Below are 27,665 nucleotides of genomic sequence, written 5' to 3' on the forward strand. Positions count from 1 at the left end.
CTACCTAAGAATAGGAGAGTATACATTCTTCTCAAGCACACAAATAATTTACCAAGGTGGACCATGCTCTGGGTCATAAAACAAGTCTCAATAATTTAAAAATGATTCAAGTCATACAAAGTATCTTCTCTGTCTACAATGGAAAAAAGTTAGAAATCTACAGTAGGAATGACTCTTGAAAAAACCCTTCATATTTAGAAAATGGCACAAAAAAATCAAATCAAAAGGTAAATTAGAAGTAAAAACACAACATGTTAAAATTTGTAGCATGAAGCAAAAGCAATGTTAGAGGGTTATTTATAGCATTAGATGCTAATGTAGGATAAAAACATAGTCTCAAATCAATCAACTCAACCTCTATGGAAAAGAAAAAACTAGAGGAAGAAGAAGTTAAACCAACAGCAAGTAGAAGAAAAGAAATAATGATTATAGACGAACGAATTCAAAGTAATAGAAAACAGAAAAAATAATAGATGAATTTAAATAAGGTTACATCCTACTAAATATTTAAACAGGAAATAATACTAACCCTACAAAAGCTCTTTCAGAAAACGGAAGCAGAAAGAACGTTTTTTTTCAATGTGTCCTGTGAGGTCAGCATTACCCAGACACAAAAACCGGAGAAAGACATTGTAAGTAATGAACACAACAGACCTAAAATTCTCATGAATGTAGATGCAAAAAATTCTAAATATAATTTTAGCAAATTGAATCCAGCAATATATAAAAAGAATAATATAGCCCAACAAAGTAGTGCCTATTCCAGAAATTTAAGGTTGGCCTAACATAAAAAATAGATGCAAGTTATTATATAGACACCCTAGGGAAAAAAAATATGACTGTCTCAACATTCCAAACCATTTTTTTACCAAAACCAATTTCAATTGCTAATTTAAAAAATGTTTTAGAGAACTATGAATAAGAGAACTTTTCCTCAATATGATAAAGGGCATCTAACAAAAAAATTGAGGATTAAAAAACCCCAAACGCAAAAATATAATTAACATCTTTAATGGTGAAACATTAAATTCTTTTCTCCCAAGACAAGGATGTTTTATTTGTCACTTGTACTTGACATTGTACTGGACATTATAACTAATGTAGTAAATAAAAAAAGTCAATCAATCAATGAAACCCCAAATGACACAAAAAGAAATAAAAACAGATGTAAGGCATCCAGATTGTAAGTGAACAGGTAAAACTGTTTTTCTTCTCAGATGACATAGTAATCATCTGTAAAAGAACACTTATGGAATGTACACAAAAGTTACAAAAACTCATGAGTTTAGCAGACTGCTTAATACAATGTAAATATACAAGTAGCAATCTTTTTTATCCTTGCAATGAATTATTTTAAATTAAAATTAAAAATGACTATTTACAATAGCATCAGATCAAAATGTGCAAGTCCTGTGTACTAAAATCCATAAAGCATCACCAAGAGAAATTAAGGAACATCTAAACAAATGGAGAGATATATCATGTTCTTGGGATTAAAAATTCAGTATTGTTTTAATTTCTTCCCAAATTTACATATTCAATGTTATCTCAATGAGTACTAGCAAGCTTTTATTTTTGTAGAAATTGATGAACTTATTCTAAAATTAATTTGAAATTGCAAAGGGCTTTTAATTGTGGAAACAACTTTGAAAGCAGAGAATAAAGCTGAAGGATGAACACTAGTTTAAGACTTAAAACTACAATAATCAAGAAAGTGTGATATTGGCATCAAGCTAGACAACTAGATAAATGGAATGGAATAGAGAGTCCAGAAAATGACAACAGCCTATAGAGATAACTGATTTCTAAAAGGAATGCAAAGGCATTTTAGCAGAGAAAAGGCAGCCTTTTAAAGAAATGGCGCTACAACAATTAAATAGCCACATGCAAAGAATATACTTTGATCCATACATCTCACAGAAATAGATTATTGCCTTATATGTAAAGGCTAAAACCATAACATTTTTGGAAGGAATTAGGAGAAATTCTTCGTGACCTTGAGTTAGGCAACGATTTCTTAAATATGACAAGAAAGGCATGGTCTATAAAAGCAAATATGATAAATATGACTTCATAAAAATTAAAACACTTACTCTTTGAAAAACACAGCTAGTATAATGAAAAGACAAGCCATTGGCTGGAAGAAAATATTTGCTTCTCTTATACAGCAAAGGACTTTTAACCAGATTAGCTAGATAACTGTTAAAACTCTATAAAATGAAAAGAGACAGTGATTAAAAATGATCTATTGGTTTGAATGGACACTTCACCATAGAAAATGTGTGAATGGAAAATAAGTCCATGATAAGATGATCAATACCGTTAGCTCTTAGAGAAATGCAAGTTAAAACCTCAATGAGACATGATTGCACAGTTATTAGATGGCTAAGATTAAAAAGACTAATGACGCCAGGTGCTGGTGAGGCTGTATAGGAACTGGAATGCTCACATGTCACTGGTTAAAATATTAAATGTTACAACCGCTTTGGAAAAGTTTTATATTTTTTTTAGTTTTGTATTTTCCATTTTTATTTAAAATCTCCTAATATTATTTTTTGAGCCTATTAATGGTATAGGGGTTTATTGCAAAATTATATAAACATTTTCAAACAAAAGGTAAGTAAGTATGGATTATACAATAAATGACAAAACACTACTGTGTAATACTTAATATGTGGGTGTTAGACAAAGTGTTAGACTTCATAGAATTTCTAAGGCAGCTTTGTTCTGCCTGCCTTTTCTACACACATTTCACACATATTTAACATGAGTTTTCCTTTTTCCCACTGACCTTCTCACCTGGCAGCTTGCTTCTGAGTCTTTCACACAAGCCACACACAGCTGCTTGGTTGAGCACTTAAGTGGCCATCAGGCAGCAGTGTCCCTAGATGTTCCTGCTCCAAAGCACGTTTTTAAAGTGAGTAGCTGCATTCTGTCCTTGAAAGAAAAGTGTGAATAACATCACATCAGAAAGGACTGGAGAAGGAGAAGCAAATCTTAGCGGGTGTTAAATGGCTTCCAGTGTTCCTGGCAGACTGAGATGAGACCGCAGCAGAAACCAGAGGCACGAAGCCCACCTCAGCCTATTGTGAAGAATCTTTTAATATAATACTCTATACTTGTTGGTCAAAATCTTGTATTGGGTACTTTTGTTGAATTTTCAATTATATTATCTTTTGTTTCCTGTAAACTAGGTCAAATTTTCCTGAAGGTCTGATATAGTATATTTCCTTTTTAAATCATATATAATGTGTAATAATATTTTAATACATGAAACAGTCAAATGAAGACAGTTTTTACTATTTAATACATGAGACAATCAGTCAAAGGAAGACTTTTTTACTATTGATCTAAATGCTTGATCATACTGTAATTAAAAAGTGAAATAGCTGAATTTATTGATCTAAGAGCATTTATGGATCTTCAAAAGTATTCACTACGTTAGTAATAGATGCAAATAATGGATATTATGGCACAATGACTAGTCTAAGAGAGGCGACGTGTTGTCATTAATTTTTTTTCATTCAAATCTATTTATTTTTATTTTTAAAATTGTAGTAAAAATCACACAACATAAAATTTACCATCGAACCTATTTTAATTGCATAGTTCGGTGACATTAAGTGTATTCACAGTTATGAATATACTGCAAATAGTTTTTTTTTCAAAAGTTAAACACATAACTACCATCTGACATGGCAATTCCATCCCTATGTACTTCCCAGGAGAAATGAAAACATGTGTGTTTATAAAGACTTGAACACAAATGTCCATGGAAGCTTTACCTGTAATTGCTAACAACCAGAAATGACCCAAATGTTAATCAACAAGTGAATGGATAAAAACTAATACATCCATTCAGGGGAGTAATACTTAGTGATATAAAGGTTAAAAAAAACCCGTTGAGACATACAACATGGACAAATCTCAAAATAATTATGCTGAGCCAAAAAGCCAGACAAAGAATAATACATAATTATGATCTTATTTTATAAAATTACAGAGAATGCAAATGAATCTCTAGAGACAGAGGTTAATCAGTGATTGCCTAGGGAGGGTGGGGGAGAGGGGAGGAGTAAGAAGGAACAATTTCAAAACATTATCACAAAGCAAATTCCCAAGGAGATGGATAATATCCTGATTTTGATAGATTCAGTGTTTTCTATGGGTTTTTACATCTTTAAAAATCTATCCAATTTTATATTTTAAATGTGTATAATGTATATATCAATTGTATAATTCTTATATAAATTCAGCCTCAATAAGGCTGTTAAAAAATAGAAGCAACGTGAAGACTGTCTCAGACATACAAAAGTAGAGAGACGCCACTGTCAGCAGCCGGCACCACCAGGCACTAAAGGACATTTTAGAGTTGGTTTCCAGACAGAGGGAAATGATAAGAAATAAAAATGAGGGTCTACACAAAGGAACAGGAGTGGGTGTAAAATGCATCAGCAAATACAAAGCGTGTTTTACCGTATTTTGAAATCTCTTTATTGAACATTGTTTTAAACAGTAATAATAATACATTTGGGGTTTATAAGTAGAAGCAAAATGTCTGCTAACAATAGCACAAGGGCTGGGAGGTGGGAAATGGAACCAGGCAGTTGTAAGATTATTAAATTACATGGGAAGTGATGCCATATTATTTGTTATTCTTGGGTATTCTTGATAAGTTAATGCTGTGTATTGTCAACTCCAGAGCAACCATTTATAAAAACAAACATGATTCATACACCACTTACAAAGCTAACAAAAATGTAATATAAACCCATGCACACTGTGTTCCAGCAGAACTTCAAAACAATTCTTAAATGATGACTTGGTGGGAATTAGTTACTAGAATTTTCCTTCATGGCCTTGCAGACCGAGGACTTCCGCCAGCTTTCGCATGGGAGAGCGTCCTGGCACGGGGTGTCTTTGACGTGGGCAGACTGAGGACTTCAGCCAGCTTTCAAATGGGAGAGCGTCCTGGCACGGGGTGTCGTTGACGTGGGCAGACCGAGGACTTCAGCCAGCTTTCACATGGGAGAGCGTCCTGGCACGGGGCGTCGTTGATGTGGGCCATGAGTTTGCACCTTTTCAGATGGTGGGAAGCCACTCACAAGTGACAGAGGGTGTCACATGATACACAAAACCGAAAGGAAGCCCTAATCCCGGCAGGAAAGGTCTGTGTGAGGATTCACCAAGAGTGGACGTCCAGGAGTGTGTGACGCCGGAGCCGGTGTGCCCCACGCATGTGTAGGTGCTCACAGGCACACGCCTGCACGGAGGGCTGTCTGTCCAGGCCACTGCTGTGTGGTGGCCTCACTGCTGCCTTCCTTAATGGCTGATAACACTAAACTCTTTGATGTATCCAATTCCCTGCTTTATTTTAACTCAGATTATTCCTTACTGTGCCTTTGGCCATCAAATATTGACTGCATGATAACATTGTACTTTGTTTCTGTTGTCAGTGCATGACGTTTTCCACTCTCTAGGGAGTTCCACTGCCAAGAGAACACAACTCATCACCAGAGGAGACAGGATCGGGGAGGAGGCGGCCAGGCCAGCCCTGGCCCCGGCCACAGGAACACTGGCGTCCCCTGGCTGGGAAAGGACAAGGTGTGCTCCAGTTCTGGCCACGTCTGTCTGGTTTCCCCATCAGAGGTGGTGGCTTGTGAACTAGGAGCGCTCGAGTCCCAGCGCCGTGGCCCAGTCACCAGACGGTGGGTGGGGAGCCGGGCTGGGCCCTCGCCCTGGCCACAGTGCAGCCCGCTCCACTAGCTGGGACCCGGCTTCCTGCAAAACCAAAGCTCAAGGCTGGGCAGGGCAGCCAGCTGTGTCCCAACTCACCCCAAGTTTCTGCACTTCATGTCCGAGCAGATGGGCTTTCAGAGGGGACGCTGCCCTAGGGTTTCACAGCCACTTATGCTGAGTGATGCCCAAACCTGTAACTCCCAGTCACTGATCCTAGGATCCTTGAACCACAGGATGCTGACCTCATTTCCCCACCCATTGGTGGATGCGTTCATCAGAGTCTTCCAGAAACCGCGGTGGGGGGATCGCCCAGGATCGCACTCAGGAATCCCGCCGAGGGAGCTCTGTGAATGCAATTTAGGCGACCGCACTTTCTAATGTTTGAAATATTGCGTCTAAGGAGACATTTCTCTAAATGTCACAGGAGACACATGCATGTTTAAGAAATGTACATGAAAGAACATACTTGAGTATATGCCAAGTATGATGACCTAGCTATGATAATTTTCAAAAATGTAGCAATCGTATTGTCAGAAACTATTATTTTAGAGGTTAGAATGTTGACCACCCATTTGTTTTTAAATTATTATTATACTTTAAGTTTTAGGGTACATGTGCACAATGTGCAGGTTTGTTACATATGTATACATGTGCCATGTTGGTGTGCTGCACCCACTAACTCGTCATCTAGCATTACGTATATCTCCTAATGCTATCCCTCCCCCCTCCCCCCACCCCACAACAGTCCCCGGAGTGTGATGTTCCCCTTCCTGTGTCCATGTGTTCTCATTGTTCAATTCCCACCTATGAGTGAGAACATGTGGTGTTTGATTTTCTGTCCTTACGATAGTTTGCTGAGAATGGTGGTTTCCAGCTTCATCCATGTCCCTACAAAGGACATGAACTCATCCTTTTTTATGGCTGCATAGTATTCCATGGTGTATATGTGCCACATTTTCTTAATCCAGTCTATCGTTGTTGGACATTTAGGTTGGTTCCAAGTCTTTGCTATTGTGAATAGTGCCACAATAAACATACGTGTGCATGTGTCTTTATAGCAGCATGATTTATAGTCCTTTGGGTATATACCCAGTAATGGGATGGCTGGGTCAAATGGTATTTCTAGTTCTAGATCCCTGAGGAATCACCACACTGACTTCCACAATGGTTGAACTAGTTTACATGGCACCCAACTACTACTCGACATTCGTAACCTTTTATTCATTAGAAATGACCAACGGGAACTTTAAATTACATGACAGCAGTTTCCTTCTTAGAAAGAGGAAGGTAAAACTCAGAGAAACCTATCAAGCCTGAATAAAGGAGTAAACACAAAAATGAAGCAGTTCCAACTCTTCTATGGGGCTCCCTACCTGTGGTCCTTCATCCTCATAATATTATTTTCTGAATGGCCTCTGACAGCCACGATTTCCCCAAATGATCAATGTCGTCAAACTATTCAGCATGGCAGATCAGGAAAATTGTCAGATTTATTTTAGAAAGAATTTTAAAGGACAGGTGGACTCTAAAGGGATGTTGTGCTTAGCTAGATATTCAAAAATGCAATTAACGAACACATTCCTTCTCCAGATACACCGAGTTTTCCTGTGTGTTCAGGTGTTTGTTCCGAGGGTGCGTTAGTGGACGAATTCCTCCACCTGTGCATCTGGAGACCTGGGGATGTCTATGCTCTTTGCCCCCTGCCAGGTAAAAGAGTAAACTTCTAATAATCAGCTCAGATTCCCTTTTGTTGGGTTAGGAGATGAAAATACGTTGTACTGGATTCTCTTTGAAATCTAAAATGTCCGTTGGTTTTGGAGTTTTCTAACAGAACCGCCCTTCAGGTAAACATCCAAAACCTTCCTGTGACCCCGTGCAGAAGCGCCTCCCACAGCCCCCAGAGGAGAGAGGTAACCTCGGCAGATGCTGAGACCAGGGAGCCACCTCTCTTGGGCTGTGCTGGAAGCATCTCTGAGCTCTGCTCAGGTGGGAGTTACTGACACGCATATCCGTGCGAGGGCTGGCGTTTCCTTCTTTCATCAAACTGCCCATCCCCTCTGCAGCCAGTGCAGGAGTCGCGGAGTGCCGCCTTGGCTCTGGCCGCCTGAAGGCCTGCCGTGCTGGAGAGCGGGTCCAGGGGTTGACATCTCTATTCTTTTGTCTGACAAATCTGTGCACTGGCTTGTAAAAAAAATCAATACTGTTTTTCCTTGGTTCTCTCTCCACAGGTGAGCTGGTGGATCGTAGCGGCTCTCCCCGTTCCCGCCTCCAATTCTGTTCTCAGTTTGTTTCTCTTGCTTCAGGGTTGAGCATGTGATCATATCTCCAGCGGACGACACCAAAAGAATGTCTGTGACCTCGTCCCCTGGCGACCACGTCTACAGTGACTGAGTGCTGCCGTGGCTGGAAAGCCAGGGTCTGCATCTCCCAGGACCTCAGGACCTGTGATGAGGTGTTGTGGGGCCAAGAAGAGGAGGGGGTCCATGGTGGGCTCTGCCGCAGGTGACCCTGCGCACTGTCCTAGCACCTGTGCCTAAGGAGATGCCCTCTATGGTACCAAGCATCTCCCAAAATGTGATTTGCTCTTCCTGTGATAGAATGGAGTGGGCTGAGGGGGCGATGGGTGCTGGAAAGCCACAAGGCTGCCATTGATCTGCCAGAGAAGGCACCTGCTCACCTGGCAGGATGCTCACCTGGCAGGATGTTCACCTGGCAGGATGCTCACCTGGCAGGAATAGCAAATTTGCTAGAAAAATGCAGGTTCCCCTGTTCTGGGTGATCTGTGACTTCTGCCACACAGGGGATCCAGAGTGCGAGGATATCCAGAGAGCTGGAATGAGGATTTTGCTGAGCTGAGGTGGGTTGCTTTCCTCTCCTTCCCTCATGAAATCACAAAACCCATGCTCATCTCCCAGATGACCTAAGGGTGGCAGTTCCTAGAGGCAGGCGATAAATGAGGCACAGTGACCTCACGTCCAGCCTAGTTTCCTGTGTTCATTCCTGAAGGGACCTGAGTGTGGGAACAGAGTGCTCTCCTCTCTCTCTTTCTCTCTCATTCTCTCATTCCTTCTTTCTCTTTCTCTCTCTCTTTCCCTTTCTCTCTCTCTCCTCTTATTCTCCCTCTTTCTCTCTCTCTTCCCCCAGCCCCCACGTTTGTCCTTCTCCTTCCTTGCAGTCTTGCTCTTTTTCATCCATATTCCCTTTTACTATAAACTTGCTCATCTTCACTGAGGTTTAACCATGACCCAAGTTCTAGATCTTATGGGCTATTTATTATGAAGACCTAGGACTTCCTGTTTGCAGGTGAACACAGAAAGGCTTAGGATTCTTAGTAGAGAGCCTAAGCAGTCCAGATGGGAGACGTGCATTTAAGGAGAGAGATCTGATGGCCGCTCGCTGGGGATGACGCCCTTTTTGGTCCATGATCAGCCCCTGGTGCCAGGTGAGGGGACCAGGCATCGAGCTGGTCTTCAGGCCTCAGGGCTCAGCTGCCACAGAGGAGGACCCATGAGGACCTCACACCCCTGAGGCCTCCCTGAGTTCTGCTCTCCGCAGGCCTGGCCTGCATCATTTCCAGCAATTTCCACAAGTGCTTCCTTTTTAAAAGCAGAGTCTTCAAGATTGACCTTGTATAGTATTCATTTATTTAAAAAACCCAGCTTCTGCTGTGGTGCTCACTGAGCGATTGGAGCAGTGCTGAGCACGGCTTCCTTGGGTGGGCCTCGACGGACACCCACCCCTCTAACTGCTTAATATCACGAATGTGTCCTAAATTCACACTTAGAAAAGCTGCATCTCAAATTTCCTTATTGGGGTGGCAGCTGTGAGACTCCCACATCCTTGTTCCACATCAGTAGAGACAGACCCCTGTGTCAGCTCCACAGTCTGGCTCAACTTGGTGTGAGTGTGGGAAGTTCACACCCAGGCCAATTTAAGGTCAAGGTTGAAGGTTTCTCATCAGAAGAAAACCCCATCACCACATCATTCTCTCCCTCACCGGGCAGTGCCTAGTCCACTTCTGATATCCAGGACGGATAAGATCTCCCAGGGGGTTGGCCAACTCCTCTGCAGCCCCACACCTGGGTGTGACCCCGAGACCCCAACACACCTGGGTATATCCCTGAGACCCCGACATACCTAGGTATGTCCCTGAGACCCCAACACACGTGGGTATATCCCTGAGACCCCGACACACCTAGGTATGTCCCTGAGACCCCGACACACCTAGGTATGTCCCTGAGACCCCAACACACCTGGGTATGTCCCTGAGACCCCGACACACCTAGGTATGTCCCTGAGACCCCAACACACATGGGTATATCCCTGAGACCCCAACACACCTGGATATATCCCTGAGACCCCGGCATACCTAGGTATGTCCGTGAGACTCCAACACACATGGGTATATCCCTGAGATCCCGACACACCTGGGTGTGACCCCAAGACCCCAACACACCTGGATATATCCTTGAGACCCCAGCATACTTAGGTGTGTCCCTGAGACACCAACACACCTGGGTATGTCCCTGAGACCCCGGCACACCTGGGTATATCCCTCAAACCCCAACACACCTGGGTATGTCCCTGAGACCCCAACACACCTGGGTGTGTCCTCACAACTCCATCACAAGTCTCCTTGCATTTGGTTTTCTTGTTCTGCTCAGCTGGGGTCTCCAGGCCCAGCCCAGTGACAGGGGGATGGGGTCCACGCCCCACTCCTCCTGCATAGAAAGTCAAATCGAGATCGGAGAAATAAAGTTGAGGGGCCCAAGTCACAAAGCTGGGGGATGGTGGGGGTTGGGGGTGAGGCCTCAGTTCTCTTGTTCTGCCAACTACTCCTATTCCTGGGTAAGATGATCACTAAAGGACTCTGGGTTTTAACTTGAAAACAAAGGAGAAAAAAGTTATATCCTTCAGGTCCTCTTCCATTGTAAAAAGTACATATAAAAATAGGGCTGAGCACACGTGACCCCTCCTGGGACTCAGCGAAGTTCCTGGCAGTGACTGGAACTCAGTGAACGTCTCTGGAAGTAACTGATGGGGTAGACCAGGAGAAAATACTTAGTCTCTAGTGGAGACAAAGAGACAAAAGGGGGCTACAATTTTTTGTTTTATTTATGCTTTTCTCTTTTCCTTTTCTTAGGGCTAAGCTTGAAGCAGAAGAAACCACAGTAAAAACACTGGTCAATGTATGGTAATTTTAAAGTCATCTACTTCCTATACATGTGATTGTTGGCCAGGGCATTTATGATTTATGTTATATTTTATTTTCCTATGGTCTTAAGTTGTTGGTTATACTCTAGAACTTTGCATACATGCAGTTGTTGGCTGGGACATTTATGATTTATCTTGTATTTTACAATTGTCTTAAGTTGTTGGTTATCCTCTAGAACTTCCTGTACATGTAGGGTTGGCCGGGCCACTCATGATTTATGTTGTATTTTATTTTGCTATGATCTTAAGTTGTTGGTTTTCCTCTAGAACTTCTTGTACATGTAATTGTTGGCCAGGGAATTTATGATTTACATTGTGTTTTATTTTATTATGATCATAAGTTGTTGGTTTTCCTCTAGAACTTCCCATACATAATTCTTGGCCAGGGCATTTATGACGTATGTTGTGTTTTATTTTGCAATGGTCTTAAGTTGTTGTTGTTGTTGTTTTCTAGAACTTTAGTGCATTTCACAGTAACATATTTTAGTGGATGGTGAGGTAAGGGCCCAAACCCCCCAAAACAAATTGTAAATTCCAGTAAAAACTATTACCCAGTAGTTGGCATGGAAAAGTTTGGTGGCTCCTTACAAAGTTAAATGTAGAACTACCGTATCACACAGAAACTCCACTCCTAGGCATATATGTCCGGAAGAATTGTGGGCAGAGGCTGGAACAGATAATTGTACAGGAAAGTCATAACAACATCATTCACCATAACCAAAAAGCAGAAGCAACCATGCCCATGGAGAGGTGAATGGGTAAGCCCAACGTGGTCTGTCCATACAAGGGAATGCTTTCAGCCTCAACAAGGGATGGAGTTTTCATACACGCTGCAACCAGGATGGACCTGCAAAACACATGAAGTGCAGTAAGCCAGACACAGAAGGACAGATATGACATGTCTCCATGGACACGGAATACTTAGAACAGGCAATTTCACAGACAGAAGGTAGAGTGGAGACACTCAAGGCTGGGGAATGGGATGGAGGGGGTGTTGTTATTGGAGGTGCCGAGCTTATGTTGGGGATGGTGAAGAAGTTTTGGGGATAGCAGTGGTGAGGGCTACACAAATTGTGAATAGATGATTTAATGCTCCTTCATCGTCTGCTGAAAAACGGCTACAACGGCAAGCATTCTATTCTCTATGCTTTACCATAGCAAAAAAAAAAAAATGAATACCTAGTAGGAACTTTATGCGGTTATTTTGAAACATGGGTCAGATTCTACATTTACTCTCCAAGATCACAACGATAAGTGTTTTGTGAATGGTGGAGCCAGTGATGCAGAGAGGACGGCCGACACTGCCCCCCAGGGGCTCTGAGCCCCTGTCTCCTCACCTGTGAAGCAGACGCAAGTTACTTGGAAGTATTTTCAAGCACGAACGTGCATGACGGGTAAAATATCTAGACCGCATCACTGCGCAGCCACTAGTCAGTGCTTCCTAGGAGTCAAGTTTGTAGTGTGAACTTGATACATACGGACACAAGTTTCTGTCCTGAAGCTTGCAGTCACTCTGGGAGGTGGTGGATGGTATTACTGGGCCCGTTTTTCATTGGGGAAACTGAGGCTCCAACACTGAAATAATTCACTTCACCTGGAGTTGAGCCAAGATTCTCTTTACTCCAAAGCCAGCACTCCTTCTGAGAACAGGACTTTGATTTGGATGGACGGATGTTGCTGGGGGCCTCAGCACAGGGTCTTTGGGCTCACAGCTGGACATGCAGCTGTTCAGCGGCAGCTGCGGTCTGTCCACCCAGGCGGAGACTGGATGCAACAGTTTCAGGCGGGGTTCCTCCCTCCCCAGGTGCCTGCCCACCTCTCCCTTACATGGGATGTCTCTCTTCTTCCTCCTTGCCTGGTCCCTAAAGCACTTGAGTTTGTGGTTCATTTTTTAAAAAATGATATATTTTATTTAACCCAGTATATTAAAAATGTCATTTCAGAATGTACGTTTTCCTTTTTTTTTTTTTTGCAATTGGCCGTGTATTTTACACCTTTATTTTATTGATTTATTTTTTTAGACAGAGTCTTTCTCTGTTGCCTGTGACGTGATCTCAGCTCACTGCAACCTCAGCCTCCCGAGTAGCTAAGATTACAGACATGTGCCACCATGCCTGGCTAATTTTTGTATTTTTGGTAAAGATGAGGTTTAGCCATGTTGGCCAGGCTGGTCTCAAACTCCTGACCTCAAGTGATCCAGCCACCTTGGCCTTTCACAGTGCTGGGATTACAGGGCTGAGCCTCTGTGCCCGGCCAGACTAAGCAGGCTTCATGTGTCCAACAGCTATGTTGGGCAGGTGGCTCCGAGCTGGAGGGCACAGGTTTGGATGGAAGACGACTGCGTGTGAAAGCACCACTGTGAGCCTTGCGGGGATGCAGAGCCCATGGCACAGGCCGCTCCTGAGTGACTTCTCCAGAACCTGCCTGCTATAAGCGCTCAGGTGTCTCTGTCTCTCTGCACCAAACCTTACTACTCTTAAAGGTTTTGAGACACCAGTTTACTTAGTATACTAATAATTGTACCCAATTACTACCATTAGATTGGATAAAAGACCATTAGATTGGGTTTTTGCTGTCATTTATTTTCATTGATTTCTTAACATTATTTTACATTTTAAATAAAAATTGTGTATATTTAAAGTGCACAATGTGTTGTTCTCATGTACACTGACATAGTGACATGATTACTATGGTAAAGCTAATTAACACTTCCTTCTCCTCACATAACTCCTTTATTTATGTGTTGGGAGCAGCTCGGATCTACTCAGCGACTTTCCAGAGAGCCGTGTGGCTTTACTAATGACAGACATCGTGGTGCATTCCAGACCCCTGGGCTTGTTCATCTGACGTCACTGCAACCTCCTGATTCCACTCAATAGGCCAAGACAAGCGGAAGCTCCGGTTCAGGGAGAACGTTCCCCAGGAAATCAGGGCAGCAGAGTTTTCCAGGAACGGAGGCTGTGACGGTGGAGGGTGGCCAGGCAGCAGGAGGCCGGGGAAGCGGGTGTCCTGAAGCAGAGGCCGCGGCGCCACGTGTATGGCAGCTTGCAGGTGAGGAGCACTGCAGTGAAACAAATCAGACCCCGCAGAGGTGAGCGTAAGGGAAGGGAGCTGCCCCCTCCCGCCACCCCCCTGCTCTCCTGCGGCTGTAGAAGCCGGGGCCTGAGCTGTGTCGCTCCCCTGAAGACCTCGGGGCAGCATGTGGGCCAAGTTCCAGCCTGCTTCACAGTCCTTCCGGGGATTGTGGTGGTGAGAGGTTTTTTCTAATTTTATGAAAGGTATCACTATCTTTTTTTCCTGATTATCTTGGTAGTTTGTAGAGAGAAGGGAGTGGTCTCTGCATTTTAATAAACCCACTGTCTCCACCCAGAGTCCTGCAAAGTGGATCTTGATGCTGTGGCCCTTACGGGTGAGGCGGGAGCAGCCCATAGATGCCGGGGCCTGGCCGGCCTGGGCTTTTCTCTGTGCAGCCTACAGGGGAGCCTGTAAGGGCCTGCAGCCGGTGCTCCGATACAGCGGCTGGGAAGTGGAACACTTGGCAACTGCTGGGTCACCTCGCTGTGTTTTCTGAGGCACATGTGTTTTGGAACGTAGTGTTAGTGAACGTCCGTCCGTGAGGGCTTCCATCTCTCAGGTGGGTAGCAAGCATTCTAGGTAGGTCATCTTGCTGGTTCCTCATAATACAACCTTGTAAGCCAATATTGTTATGAAGCCTATTTCACAGATAGGAAAACTGAGTTTTAGAGAGGTGAGCAATCTTCCCAGGCTGCCAAGCAGGGCTGGGACGCAGGCTTCCCTGCACCCGCGCTCACCTGACTCCAAAGCCAGGCTCTGGATCAATAGGATGTGGCTCAAATCTGTGGCACATCTGCTTGCCATCTCCCTAGGACCACCATGAGACCCTTGAGACCAGGCACCACATCTCTGTACACTGCAGTGCCCTCATTGCTAGTACAGTCCCTGGCACGTGGTCAGACCACAGTTAAAACCTGGTGAGCAGATAAATAAGTAAATGGATACTTGAATGGTGAATGAACGCGTGTATACATTTCAAAACCCAGCTCAAACCAACTAAGATAAATACATTACCGGAGTACAGAAATTGGACCTCTCAAATTGCACCAAAATATTTCTGTGGTTATGTGCATAACTTTTTCACATTTGAACCTGCAATTTTGTGTCAAGATGTAATTTTTTTAAAAAGCTAGTTTCATAATGTTGTTACCAATGGTTTTACATTTTTGGCATCTCCACGGTGTGAGAGGCAAAGGGCCTGCATTCTTGATTCTAACAATTTAACTGCAATCTGTCAATTTCAAGCAGGAAATCTGATCTGAGTTTTCAAACCCCCATGTCTCCCCGAGAGTCAATAATTCACCATTTTAGGGCAACGGGCCCATTAACACTGAACAGCTTGAGAATGCACTCTTCATTGATCAGATAAACAAGTCATGAGATATTTTATTACAAAATGACGAACTAATTTAGTCATCTTTTCACCAACAATGGACTTATATTAGATGTGAAATGGCAAGAAATTTTCTTCCTCAGGGAGCTATCATAAGAAACACAAACTGAAAGCTTCTCATCCAAATGGCTCATCTGACTGGGCTTACCCTGAATTCAACCCAAATTTAAGCCAGACCGCTGATAAGTTTTGCTTAAAAGTGATAGGTTTTTCTTTGTTGGTCTTATTCCAAATTATATGCAATATTTTGTCTTATATTTATGTCATACATTTAGCTTTTTCTGGTAGTTTCTTATTGAAATACAGTAATTATATGGGTAACTTATACAAGTATTACTTGTCATAATTCTGAATTTTTAATTCATCTTAAGTAAATGATTGAGGCAATTTTAAATCCATTTCCATGAAGATTTTACATTCTTTTTGAATGTACAAAATGGAACGGATATTGCCTTTGGTTGGTAAATAGAAATAAATTGCAGGCCAGGTGTGGGCACAGTGAGGCAGTGGCAGAGATGACCAATGCTGACTGGGAGTCAGGGTACTTGGGGGAAAACAGGCTGTGGAATTCGCCTTGCCAGCACTCTTTCTGACTATGTGTTCAGAGAAGTCCCTCTCACCCAGGGTCTCTGAAAATGCTGGGCTCAGCGAAAGTGTGACTGGGCTACAGGAAGGCATGATGCTGAAGCTCTGGCTCTGTGTTTCTTCCTGCACAACCGAGGAAGGAACTGCTTACATCACAGGGCGTGTTCACGGCTCCCCGCTGCGGGCACTGCGAGTAACCTACTCAGCTGCCTATAGCGGCCCTGGGTCCCCTGCCCTGGGTCTGTGGGTTAAGCCACCGCCTTGTTGTTCACTGCGTCTGGCAGTTACATCCTGAGTGTAAAAGGTCTCATTTGGGTGGGACAGGAGGCAGCGCCTGGGTAGGGTGAGGTCACACCAGGGGTGCCACAAAGCCTGGGCTTTGAGGAATCGTGCCCTTAGTGGGAGGTCTGGGAAACACAGGTCTGGAATAGAACCTGTCTTAATTTTGACTCCAATGGAGAGAATGAGGGGGGAGTATTCCTATTCGTATTGTTACACTCAAGCAGAAACAAATTCAGGTCTTTTCTGGAGGAATATACTTTACATAAGGACAATGACCTCAAAGACTTCCCACTGATGAAATTCCATAAAACAAGAGGTCAGAACAAACCTTCATAGGACAAATGAGGAAATAAGCTGCCACAACCCAGGATGCACAGAAACAGCTACAAAATCAGAACCACACACACTCCAGATATTGGCATCTCCCGAAACAGAACATAAACACATGTAATATATTTAAAAATCAGAAGAGGAAATGCATGAATGATGAAGGTAACAGAGACTACCAAGATTGACATGTGGAATTGACAAAGAACCAAATAGAATGTCTAGAAATGAAAAACGTAATAATGAAAATAAGCACAGCGGGGGGGTCACATAGACCTTAAAGGCTGAATTGGAGCTAAGTTACTCTATATAAAACATGGAAGACAGATTTTAAGGACTGACTCAGGATGCACAACAGAGTTACAAAAATACAGAAAATACACAAGAGTGTTCAAAGAAAGGGCAGAGAGGTAAGGGTATGGTGAGGAGGTAGCATTAGAAAGGTAGGCTCCGAACTGTCAGCAACTGACAGTAGACACCGAATCTCAAGTTCATGAAGCCCAGTAAACCCCAAGCAGCAGAATTAAAAAGAAATCCTCACCAAGTTATAGAAATGCCACTGAAAAACACCACGGACAAGGAAAACATCTCTGTTCTCAAGAAAGAAAAAACAAAAATTTACTACAAATGGAAAGAACCATCTGATAGCAGTAGGCTGAAAATTTTCTCAAAGTTTACACAGAGCTGAGAATAGTTTGAATTCCAACAGCCAATGTGGGAGAAACCCATAATACATACGGCATCAGATAGAGTCTGAAGATGTGTTGGTTGGTTCAGAAGTGGAGGTAAATGAGCTCTAGACTGTGTAGCACTCTGACTTTCCCTAACAAAGCTTCAAATCCTCAAAAGATCAAACGAATTTCAAAAATACCTAAGTACAAACAGGAAAAAACCCCACAATATTCTTTATAGGAATCTAATAAAATCTGGCATCCAACAACATAAAATTAACAGTTTTCAACATCCAGCAAACAAACAAAGCCACTTCCAGGCATGCATGAGAGGACGAAAATACGGCTTAGGACAAGAATAAAAATCAGTCAAGAGCTGCCTCTTATTAGCAACCATGGAGGCCAAAAGAAAGTGGACCAACATCCTTAAAGTGCTGGAAGAAAAATAATGTCAACTCCAAATACTATATCCAGTGAAACTATCATTTAAGAATGGAGGTAAAATAAAGACATTTTAAGATATAAGATAACTAAAAGAACTCATCACTACAAGAAATGTTGATGATGGTTCCTGGGGAAGAATAATAGTGACACCAGAAGGAAGCTCAGAACATAAGGGACAAACAAAGAGTATCAGAAATGGTAAATATCTGAATAAATTCAAAATACTATTTTTCTTTTTTGCCTTTCTTCACCTTGATTTCATAGAAGCTATAAACTGTTTTGAAAAAGGTAACATTGTGTCATGGGTTTATAATGTGTGTAGTTGTGTTACGTTTGACAATAATAACATAAGGGCATGGAAAAAATATAGACCTTAAAGCTGTAAGATTTCAATATTTTACATAAAAAGTAGACCTACTAAAAGTTAAAAAGTGTATTAAATTGCCAGAGCAACCATGAAAAGAAATGGAATTCTATAAAATCAGTAGTAGTGCAACGTATGACAATAGTAGCCCAAAGGACAGGTGCAGGGGAGATGGATGGATAGATGAAATAGAAGGGCAAATGGAGAGGTAGACAGATGGATAGATGAATAGATAGCTAGGCAGATATATAGATGGATAGATAGATGTATATATGGATAGATAGATGAATAGATAGATGGAGAGATGGATGGATAGATGAATAGAAGGACAGATGGAGAGGTAGACAGATGGTAGATGAATAGATAGGCAGATATATAGAGAATAGATGTATATATGGATAGATGGATGAATAGATGGATAGATGAATAGAAGCACAGATGGATAGGTAGACGATGGATAGATGAATAGATAGATGGATATATGGAGGGATAGCTAGATGTATATATGGATAGATAGATGAATAGATAGATGGATAGATGGATGGATAGATGAATAGAAGGACAGATGGATAGGTAGACAGATGGATAGATGAATAGATAGATATATAGAGGGATAGATAGATGTATATACGGATAGATAGATGAATAGATAGATGGATAGATGGATGGATAGATGAATGGATAGATGGATAGGTAGATAGATGCATAGATGAATAGATGTATATAGATAGATGGATATGTAGATTGGTAGATGGATAGATAGATGGATAGATGAATAAATAGATGTAGACATAGATAGATTGATAGATAGATAGATAGTATATTAGTCCTTTCTCACACTGCTATAAATATACTACCTGAGACTGGGTAATTTATAAAGAAAAGAGGTTTAATTAACTCACAGTTCCACTTGGCTGGGGAAGCCTCAGAAAACTTACAATTATGGTGGAAGAGGAAGCAGGCACATATTACATGGTGGTAGGTGAGAGAGAGTGCGTGAAGGAGGAACTGTCAGACACTTATAAAACCATCAGATCTTATGAGAATTCGTTCACTATCATGAGAACAGCCTGGGGGAACCACACCCATGATCCAATCACCTCCCACCGGGTCCCTCCCTCAACATGTGGGGATTATGAGGATTACAATTCAAGATGAGATTTGGGTGAGGACACAGAGCTGAACCATATCAGATGAATAGGTAGATGGATGGATAGATGAATAGATAGATTGATAGATAGACGGATGGATAGATGGATAGAAAGATAGGTAGATGAGTAGATAGATAGATAAAGAGATGTATATATGAATAGACAGATGGATAGATGGATAGATGGCTGGATAGATTGATGGGTGGATGAATAGATAGATGGCTACATGGGTAGGTGGATGAATAGATAGATGGCTACATGGGTAGGTGGATGAATAGATAGATGGCCACATGGGTAGATAGATGGATAGATAGAACTGTTGCATCAACAGTAGAGATAAAATTAAAACATAAAAAAATTAATCCAAAACAAGGCAGAAAATGAGGAAAATAGAAATCAAGTAGAAAACATGGACATCTTGCAAGGTGGTAGATTTAAATCTAACTGTATCAATAATTGCATTAAATGGAAATAGTCTAAACAGGGTTTTCTGTTAGGAGGAATTATTTAAGGGAGAAAGCTGAATCAAATTAATTTGTAGCATCACAATACTCTCAAAAAAGGTAATATAGTTTCCTGAGACTGAGTATATTAGATATAAGTAATAAATGTGAATGTGTCTAGGTTTATGTACTAATGTTTATTATAAATTGGACAATTTCTCAAGGGATAAACAACACAAATTAATCTTGTAGTTTCTGCTGTCTTGAAGTAGAATGAGTTGAACAATAACTCATTGATATTTAGAAAATGCTAGACATATCTTGCTGTGCTTTTTTCTATTGCTGAAAACAATTGGGATTTAAACAACACTTTATATTTTTTTTAAGTGCAGACAAAAAAGATTGTACTTCTGACAAGAAGGCTCCCTGGAGTCAGTGCCTCGAATGGAGGAAATGAGTCTCATTAAAGCTGGGATACCTTCCCGCCTTCTCTCTGGTGGCCGTGTGGGTCTGTGATCCTTGGAGGCTAGCACTTAAACTCTTCCTTTTACTGGAAAAGGCATTTTGGTGTCAGTCATGGGATATGCCACTTTCAACTCTCAGAGTCCTGCTCAAATCTTGACCCAACCCCAGTCTTCAATTCCCTGTGGTAACAATAACCGAATAATCAACAAAGCTGGGCTTCCACATCACTCCTGGGTACCATGTACTGTGGGTCCCCCCACACCCCACACAAATGCAGACATCTGGTTGGAAGTCCACACAGCACATAGTCTCTCCTGGCTACGGTTGTACTGACATCATTGTTGTTGATTTTGTTTTTGTGTTTGTTTCTGTTTTAAGCAACTGCCTGATCCAAGCATTGAAACTAATCTGGCTATTGTGGCTATTTCTAAGACCAATTAAGTCGGTTTCCTGTTTCAATGGCTTGTGGGAACCATTTAGATTGTGCAAATGATTAAACGACTACATCACATCGATTGCTCTAAATAAACACAGCCTAAAGCGCCTGCCCCTAAAATAGCAAATAAGAGAGGCAAGATGGAGTGCCATATAGTTCTTTAGATACAAAAATCAATAGGATAATTCAGGTTCTAAGGAGAAATACTTGATATGTCAAGTTTGCTTATTTTATCTATGAGCAAATGGAACACAAGACCAATTGCTCATATTTATTCTGTAGATTCCTGGCAGAAGCTAAGAACTGTCTTAAAATAAATTTTAAAAGTAAATAAGTTATAATGCATAGGTTAGCCCATTCATTAATGATTTTCAGTTTCAAGTGTAAATATTTCTTAATGATTACTAGTTGATCAGTGTAATGAAAACATTGAGTAGACAAACTAAATGCACAGTATAAATGTGACATAAACACTGGTTTCAATTTGTCTCAAGAAAAAAGAAAAAAAAAAAGGCCCCTGCAATGGCAAAGAGTGGCCACTATTGGGGTAATTCAAACAACCCACTGTAATACAGGAAAGGCTTTGAAAACAGGAGGCGCAGAATATTTCCAATGCTCATAAAGGCAGAGAATTTCCAAATTGATTCTTTTGGGAAAACTCTCATCTGGAGGTATTGGACCAGGGATACTTCTTTAAAAACACGGGTGTGTTTCTCTCCCAGTGAACTGAACGTGCAGTGCTGAAGCACTTGTGAATCATCACACCTGCAGGGACCACCCGATGGCAGACTCCCCGCGCTTCTGCACCGCTGCCTCCACGGGGCGGACTCCAGGCCCCTTGCAGTCCCCACCAGGCCCTGAAGACGCACTGACACTCAGCAGAGCTCACCTCCTGAGGACTCTCAGTATACTCTTGTTCTCTGAGGACAGTGTCGCCCGGGTGATGTCCTGGTGTGCTGCATGGATATCCTGCGCGGGAACCCAGGAGACACACTGGTGGGAGCAGTGATTGCATTTGGCCAAGGCTCATTCACCAGGAGAGTGAGCCAGTGGCCATGTGCGGCAGGACCCAGGTGTGCAGCAGGACCCGGGCAGCTCTAGAAGTCCACAGGAGGAGCTACACGGGAGACGTCGTCCTTCCCAACACTGACACGGGACGCTAGTGCGCTCTTCCAACAGAGCTGCTTAGGAACAGAGGACTTAGAGGAGAAGGCATGGGTGGGAGAGAGGGGCTGGGTAGTGAGCGAGGGAGAGGTGGGCAGAGGCCTGCGGTGGAGCCCACAGCTGGAGGCAGACAGCTCACTGGGGAGGAGATGGGGAGAACAGAGGAGACTGTGACCACAACAAGAGAGTGTGCGTGAAGAGAATCCAGAGTTCCTCCCCCTGTGCTGTGGGCAGAGAAGCACTGGGCTTGGCCAGCAGCAGAGCGGAGGCCGCCACCCTCTACCCACCATCAAGGACCCGGGCATCAAAGGCGGGAGCCATGACCCTCATCAGCACAGGCCTGTCTTTTTCCCTTCTGGAGTGTGATGCTGTCCCGATTTCATGCACAGCTGTCCGGCCGCGGAGAGAAACGCAGGGTGCACGGCTTTCCTGTGCCCACTCTGGAAAGCTTCTCATGTGCGCTGAGTTGGCCACAAGATAGATGAGTTATTGTCTGAGGGGTGCTTGTACCCACTAGGGCCCTTTCAGAGTTGAGAGAGGCAGCATCTTGCAGAGAGGAATGTTCTAGAAACTTCCCTGTGAGCACCAGCTCCGCAGGCTCCTTCTGTGTGGTGAAGATGTCTGTGACAAAAACACTCCCAAAGCCTAAGCAAGGGTGTGAGCGCCCTAGAGAGACCGTTTGCCCCACCCCGGAAATGTTCATTCCTGCCATGGAACCTTCCTGTTCATTCCACAGAGGCTGAGCCGGCTTGTGGGGCTTGGCAAGGACTAGGCGGGGGGCATCGAACCCTAAGGAGCTGAGCCACCGCTGGGGTCGGGGTCCAGTCCTGGGGAACGCGGGTCCCTGGAGCACAGCAGGGCCTGACCGCCTCCGCGCCGCCCTCCCCGCATTTCCTCTCCTCCTCCCCAAGCCCATGGCTCAGAACACCGAGACCTGCCTCGCCAAGAAACGCCCATTTATTTCCTTCCTATTTATTTATTTTGCAAAAGCCGCCTTTTGAAAGCCGGAGTGCAGTGCGGACTGGCTGAGGCCGGGGCCCAGGCGCGCGCCTCCTTCCTGCAGGCGGCCCGGGGCATCGATCGCGCGGGGCGTAATGAACCCTAATAACAGCTCTATCACCGCCCGCCCGCCAATTGGCCCGGGTGCCCTCCAAATTAGCCACAAAGAAGCCAGTCTGTCAATATTAATTCCGCCGCGGAGATTACTTGTTGTGGGAGAACAAAGGTGTTCTGGCTTGAGCTGAACAACTTAACTCCTTGTCTCATAAAATTTAAGCTGCTATTGATCGCCTCCTTGCATTGTGTGAGGATTAAACACGTGCGCGTGCACATCCAGGCACACGCGCGCACACACTCGGGGCGCCCGGCCCCGCTCAGGCAGCCGCCCCACCTCCTCGCCTACCCGGAATCATTCAGCAACGTGGAGCAAATTAAATCAATGAATTCATCCTAGCAGATGGCCACTTTAACACTCAGTTAGCCCTTTAGATAATTGAGCGTTGACTCCGGAATCATAAAATGGATGGCTCGTTTGTACATTTTACTGAAATAGATCACCGAGGTTAAATAAATGAAATCCCATTTGTCAGGCGGTAATAAATGGCCTCCCCTTCTGCAAACAGCTCTGTTTGGCCTAATAAATACAGGGACGTTACAGCGCTCCTCCCTTGATAGGGTTACAGCTTAATGAAATGGCCTTCCCTCTGCTTGTTTTTGCCGCCTCCTGCACCGTGTGATAAGTAGCAAACCAACGAAGCTTGTAATTACAATCTTACAGAAACCCGGCCAATCTGTATATAAATCTCACCCTCCAATTACAAGATGTAATAATTTTGCAGTCAAGCTGGTAATGAGGTCTAATACTCATGCCTGTGATAATCCCCCCTGGATGCTGACTCTATCAGATGTTAGCTTTGTAATTATACTGGCAGAAAATCATTATTTCATGTTCAGCAGAAAAATGAGGTTGGTGGGAAGTTAATTTTCTCTATGCTCTGTGAAGCGTAGACAAAATTTTAATGATTTAATCATTATGGTTATCCCTTTTGCAATTGACCCACGTTACTTGTGTAGAAACATTGGCACATTTAAAAGTCCCTGTTACCCGATAAAGCTTGCCAGGTATGCAGCTTTTAATGTAAGAATAACTGTGTACAATTAAACTATTACCCTGCCGATAGGGAAAATTCATTTTACTTTTAGTTTCCGTTATTTACGTGTGTGATTCATGGAAATGTTTATGTCTTGCCCACACTATAATAAATGGCTAATTAAAAAAATTGAATTATGCCGCCCTGATTATGTCAACCCTGCAAAATAGCATCACAGAAGAATATTCGGACCAGATAATTTTTGGATATGGGCCTGAGAAGCGACAGCTTCTGTGTCTCCTGTAAAGAATAAGGACAAAAAATGGAAGAGTTGCCAATATCCCATTTGGGGAATATGACTTCTCAAATATGAGCCTTTAATATTTCTCAATCTGGTCAAGGGGCTGTTTATAAACAATGCGCTTTTAGATACAGTTGATGCTTGAACATCATTTTTTCCTCGTACTTTTGGACTCTTCAGTGACGTAGAGGAAGACACATGTCACACACATGGCACGCTCAACAATGTCAGTCTAGTCATAGGTTAAAGAAGGATAAGGATATGAGAGTTGCCTCCTAGGAGGCCAAATTTAATGATAGACTTTGGAAAACATACTCCTGGTGCTATATTTTGTGGTAAAACTAGCTTTGCCCTGAAACTCCTAATAAGGTCGGAAGAATTTTTCTGCCTGCCTGATCAAATGTTGCCCACAGCTTAAGACTGCCTGTTTCTGCACCAGTCTGCTCTGGTGTTGACAGAGCTTGCCGGCTAGCACAGCCCCATGCTGGGTCACAGCGAGGGTTCCAGTGAGTGAAGAAGGTGCCTGGGGGATAATCATGTCCCTGGTTCTAGACTTACTTTATATTCCTGTCTGTCCTTTCCTGCAAAACTGAAGTCTTTGGAATCAGCCCTTGCCCACACCTCTGGGATCGTGAGTGGGCTGGGGTGTGCGCTGCAGCTGGGAGAATCCACTTAGCATCCTGTGGGCTGTGAATGGGATGAGCTCAGCTCTACAAGGGTGGAGACTTTACAGCTATGAACCAAGGTCATTTTTTTTTTAAGGAAAATTCCATATTAGTGAATTGGCTTTTTGCTAAACTCCATACGTATAGAAAGATATCAGTATCTGTTGCAAATGGCAGATACAATTTTATGCACCTAATAATTTCTATAGATACTGAGATGAACTATGCAAATCTAGATTTAAGTGTATAATTAAACTGTGGCACTTGGTTTCTCCTCTTGCAGTTATAACTCTCAAAATTGCAACATAATTGATCATTGAAGATTTTGCCTTTTCAGGATAAAAGCCAAAGTGATTGCTCCAAATGGACATCCATGCCAGTCATCTGTGTAAGGATCGCTGAGTGTCTCACAAAAGCACGTGGGTATGAAGGTGGGGTTGACATTGATGATTAAACCAAGCAGTACAGAAGCATCGGTGCTGGTCACTTATCCCCGTCCTTCCCATCATTCGAGATCCCCTTCCAGCGAATGGTGAGTGAGAAGGAGTCAATACTCCCCGGACCTGGAGTGTGAGATTGCTGGTGGGTGGGTCGAGTGGGAGGTCTCAGGGCTGACCCAGAGGATTGTGTAAATGTAAGCTGTTCCCCTCCAACAGGCCCAGTTTGCACCGTGGTCTACATGAATGGCCCTCTCTGGAAATGTGGAATGAGTGGCCTGTGTGCTGTGCACAATGGCCTGAGCCCATGGTGCCTGGCAGATTCCTCCAAGTGCAGTTTCTCAGGCCCTGGCTTCCCTGGGAGGGGAGCTGGCCCGATTCTGTGGAGTGTGGCCTCTTGCCCTGCCTCCCTCTGCAGATCATTTCCAGCAAGTTCTCCTGTAGGCTCTTTGTACCTTCCCTTCTTGTCCCACTGCAGAGGCTGCCAGCTCTTGCAAAGCTTGGTGCTCAGGCTTTGCATGACTTGGGTCTAGGCATGAGCCTGTGACTGCGGGAGAGCTACATGGAGGGAAAAATGAGGTCCTTTCGTATCCAACCTCTCCCCTTATCCAAGAGGAAGGAGAGATTCACAGACTTTCGTGCAAAGGCCACCATATAGACTTGCTGGGATGTCGTCCTCAGAGGCCCCACTGCATGTGGCCTGGAGCTTGCACATTGCTGAGCAGGGGCCACTCCCCCTCCCTGGAGGATGGCCCTGCTGGCACGGCCACATTGCTTGCCCTTCCTGCCAAGTCAGAGAGATCTTTTTGGTTCCCTTAAAAGTACCCTCAAAATCCCTAGAATCCTTGTTGTTGTTGTTGATTTTTTTTTTTAAAGGAATGGCTTTCTTCCTGCCCATGTCAAATCATCAGGGGAATGGTACATTTCTGTCTCTCTGCTTCCCTTTCAAGATCAGGAATTGTCCTTTATTACTGTCTTCAAGATGGGAGTGGTTAACAAAATTATACCCACGTTGGGGGGATGGACTTTCTTTAGAAGGTTAGAGCAAGGTCAACCCCAGCTCACCTGAATTACAGGTGTTCTAGGTTACTGTATTAGTCTGTTCTCACACTGCTGATAAAGACATACCTGAGACTGGGTAATTTATTAAAAAAAAAGGTTTAATGGACTCACAGTTCCACATGGCTGGGGAGGCCTCAATCATGGCAGAAGGAGAAGGAAGAGCAAAGGGATGTCTTCCATGGCAGCTGGCAAAGAGAGCGTGTGCGGGGAAACTCCCATCTATAAAACCATCAGATCTCGTGAGGCTTCTTCACTACCATGAGAACAGGATGGGAAAAACCCACCCCCATGATTCAGTTATCTCCCACCCGGTCCCTCCCACAACATGTGGGAATTATGGGAGCTACAACTTAAGATGAGACTTGGGTGGAACACAGCCAAACCGTATCAGTTACAGAGGTCAAACTTCAGTGCATATTCTTGCAAACGAAGGGGACAAGAGTCAAGTTGTAGGATGACTGGATTTCCAGCTAAATGAGGATCTTTAAGAAAAATGACAGGCTTTTGTGGCTCAAGTAAAAGCAAAGATTTTTGATGCCTGCTTGAGCCTGAGGCTGGCAGGGCCCATAAAGCAGAAGCAGCACCCTCTGTGCCTCCAGCAGCTGCCGCCAGCCTCCGTCCTGGGCAGAGTGTCATCAGCACTGAGAGATCCTCCTGGGCTATGAAGGGTGATGAGTCGGTGGGTTCCGACACCAATGTTTGACTTACGTTTCTATGTTGTTTTATTTTCTCTCAGTTTCTATAAACTTCTGCAGGTCTTTGTGGAGGCAGTTAGGACATATGTATGTACAGAGTAAAAGTGAAATAACTATTATAATTAAAAATGTGATGTCTGGGTGTCTGTGGGGTGCTTGGGCCAGGGGAAGGCCACTGACATGTGAAGTGGCAGGAGGCACCTGTTGCCCAGGCCTCCCCCACATGACCCTTGGTGCCACAGCAAGATGCCTGGTACATTTGCCAAGGAAGCCTGAAGTTAATTTTAATTAGGAGTTGAGATGTCAGGAAATCTGGGTTTGAATTCTGGCTGGATGTTTAACTCTGTGGCCATAGAGAGACTAAGCACCATCTCTGCCCTGAACTGGATAATGAATGATCATCCTTCTTCCTGGGGCTTGTATGAGGGTTAAATGCCTGGGTGGTGCTCAGCACAATGCCTGGAAAAGAGCAGCTTCTTGGAATGTCTCAGCCAGCCTTGTTCCTGGCTGTGGAGTCCAGGCTGCCTGTGAACTATGATCACTGCAGCCATGGGTGGGACGGGTGGGAGGAGCACCCGGAAGCACGCTGTCTGCCAGTCATATCACTGCAGAGGGGGAGAAGGCACCAGAGCCATGGCACAGCAGACGGTGATGGGTTCCTT

General features: G+C 43.6%; 1 long non-coding RNA gene across 1 annotated transcript in view, besides 4 other annotated features; it reads left to right on the forward strand.

Moving 5' to 3' along the window:
- LOC105374618 (uncharacterized) overlaps positions 1-27,665 on the forward strand; it is a 188,354-nt gene that overhangs the window by 158,164 nt on the left and 2,525 nt on the right. The window contains exons 8-12 of the long non-coding RNA NR_171679.1: positions 7,330-7,446; positions 8,043-8,596; positions 10,883-10,933; positions 13,707-14,004; positions 25,147-25,341. This is a non-coding gene — a long non-coding RNA (uncharacterized LOC105374618). The remainder of the gene's footprint in view (positions 1-7,329; positions 7,447-8,042; positions 8,597-10,882; positions 10,934-13,706; positions 14,005-25,146; positions 25,342-27,665) is intronic.
- Positions 12,261-12,430: an enhancer, noted in NCBI's record as "experimental_83860 CRE fragment used in MPRA reporter constructs". NCBI's record gives its function as "activates a minimal promoter by MPRAs in K562 erythroleukemia cells, with activity observed for the non-introgressed 5:2101656 or rs56059016 variant allele {active_cell/tissue: K562}" and the evidence as "EXISTENCE:reporter gene assay evidence [ECO:0000049][PMID:34662402]".
- Position 12,346: a transcriptional cis regulatory region, noted in NCBI's record as "Neanderthal adaptively introgressed variant 5:2101656 (GRCh37/hg19 assembly coordinates) or rs56059016 in the experimental_83860 CRE". NCBI's record gives its function as "modulates activity of the experimental_83860 enhancer by MPRAs in K562 erythroleukemia cells {active_cell/tissue: K562}" and the evidence as "EXISTENCE:reporter gene assay evidence [ECO:0000049][PMID:34662402]".
- Positions 21,958-22,127: an enhancer, noted in NCBI's record as "experimental_83872 CRE fragment used in MPRA reporter constructs". NCBI's record gives its function as "activates a minimal promoter by MPRAs in K562 erythroleukemia cells, with activity observed for both the introgressed and non-introgressed 5:2111353 variant alleles {active_cell/tissue: K562}" and the evidence as "EXISTENCE:reporter gene assay evidence [ECO:0000049][PMID:34662402]".
- Positions 22,745-24,120: an enhancer, noted in NCBI's record as "VISTA enhancer hs633". NCBI's record gives its function as "enhancer in: dorsal root ganglion[4/12]" and the evidence as "EXISTENCE:transgenic organism evidence [ECO:0001131][PMID:17130149]".

This window comes from Homo sapiens, chromosome 5, assembly GCF_000001405.40.
Source record: "Homo sapiens chromosome 5, GRCh38.p14 Primary Assembly".
NCBI classification, from domain to species: domain Eukaryota; kingdom Metazoa; phylum Chordata; class Mammalia; order Primates; family Hominidae; genus Homo; species Homo sapiens.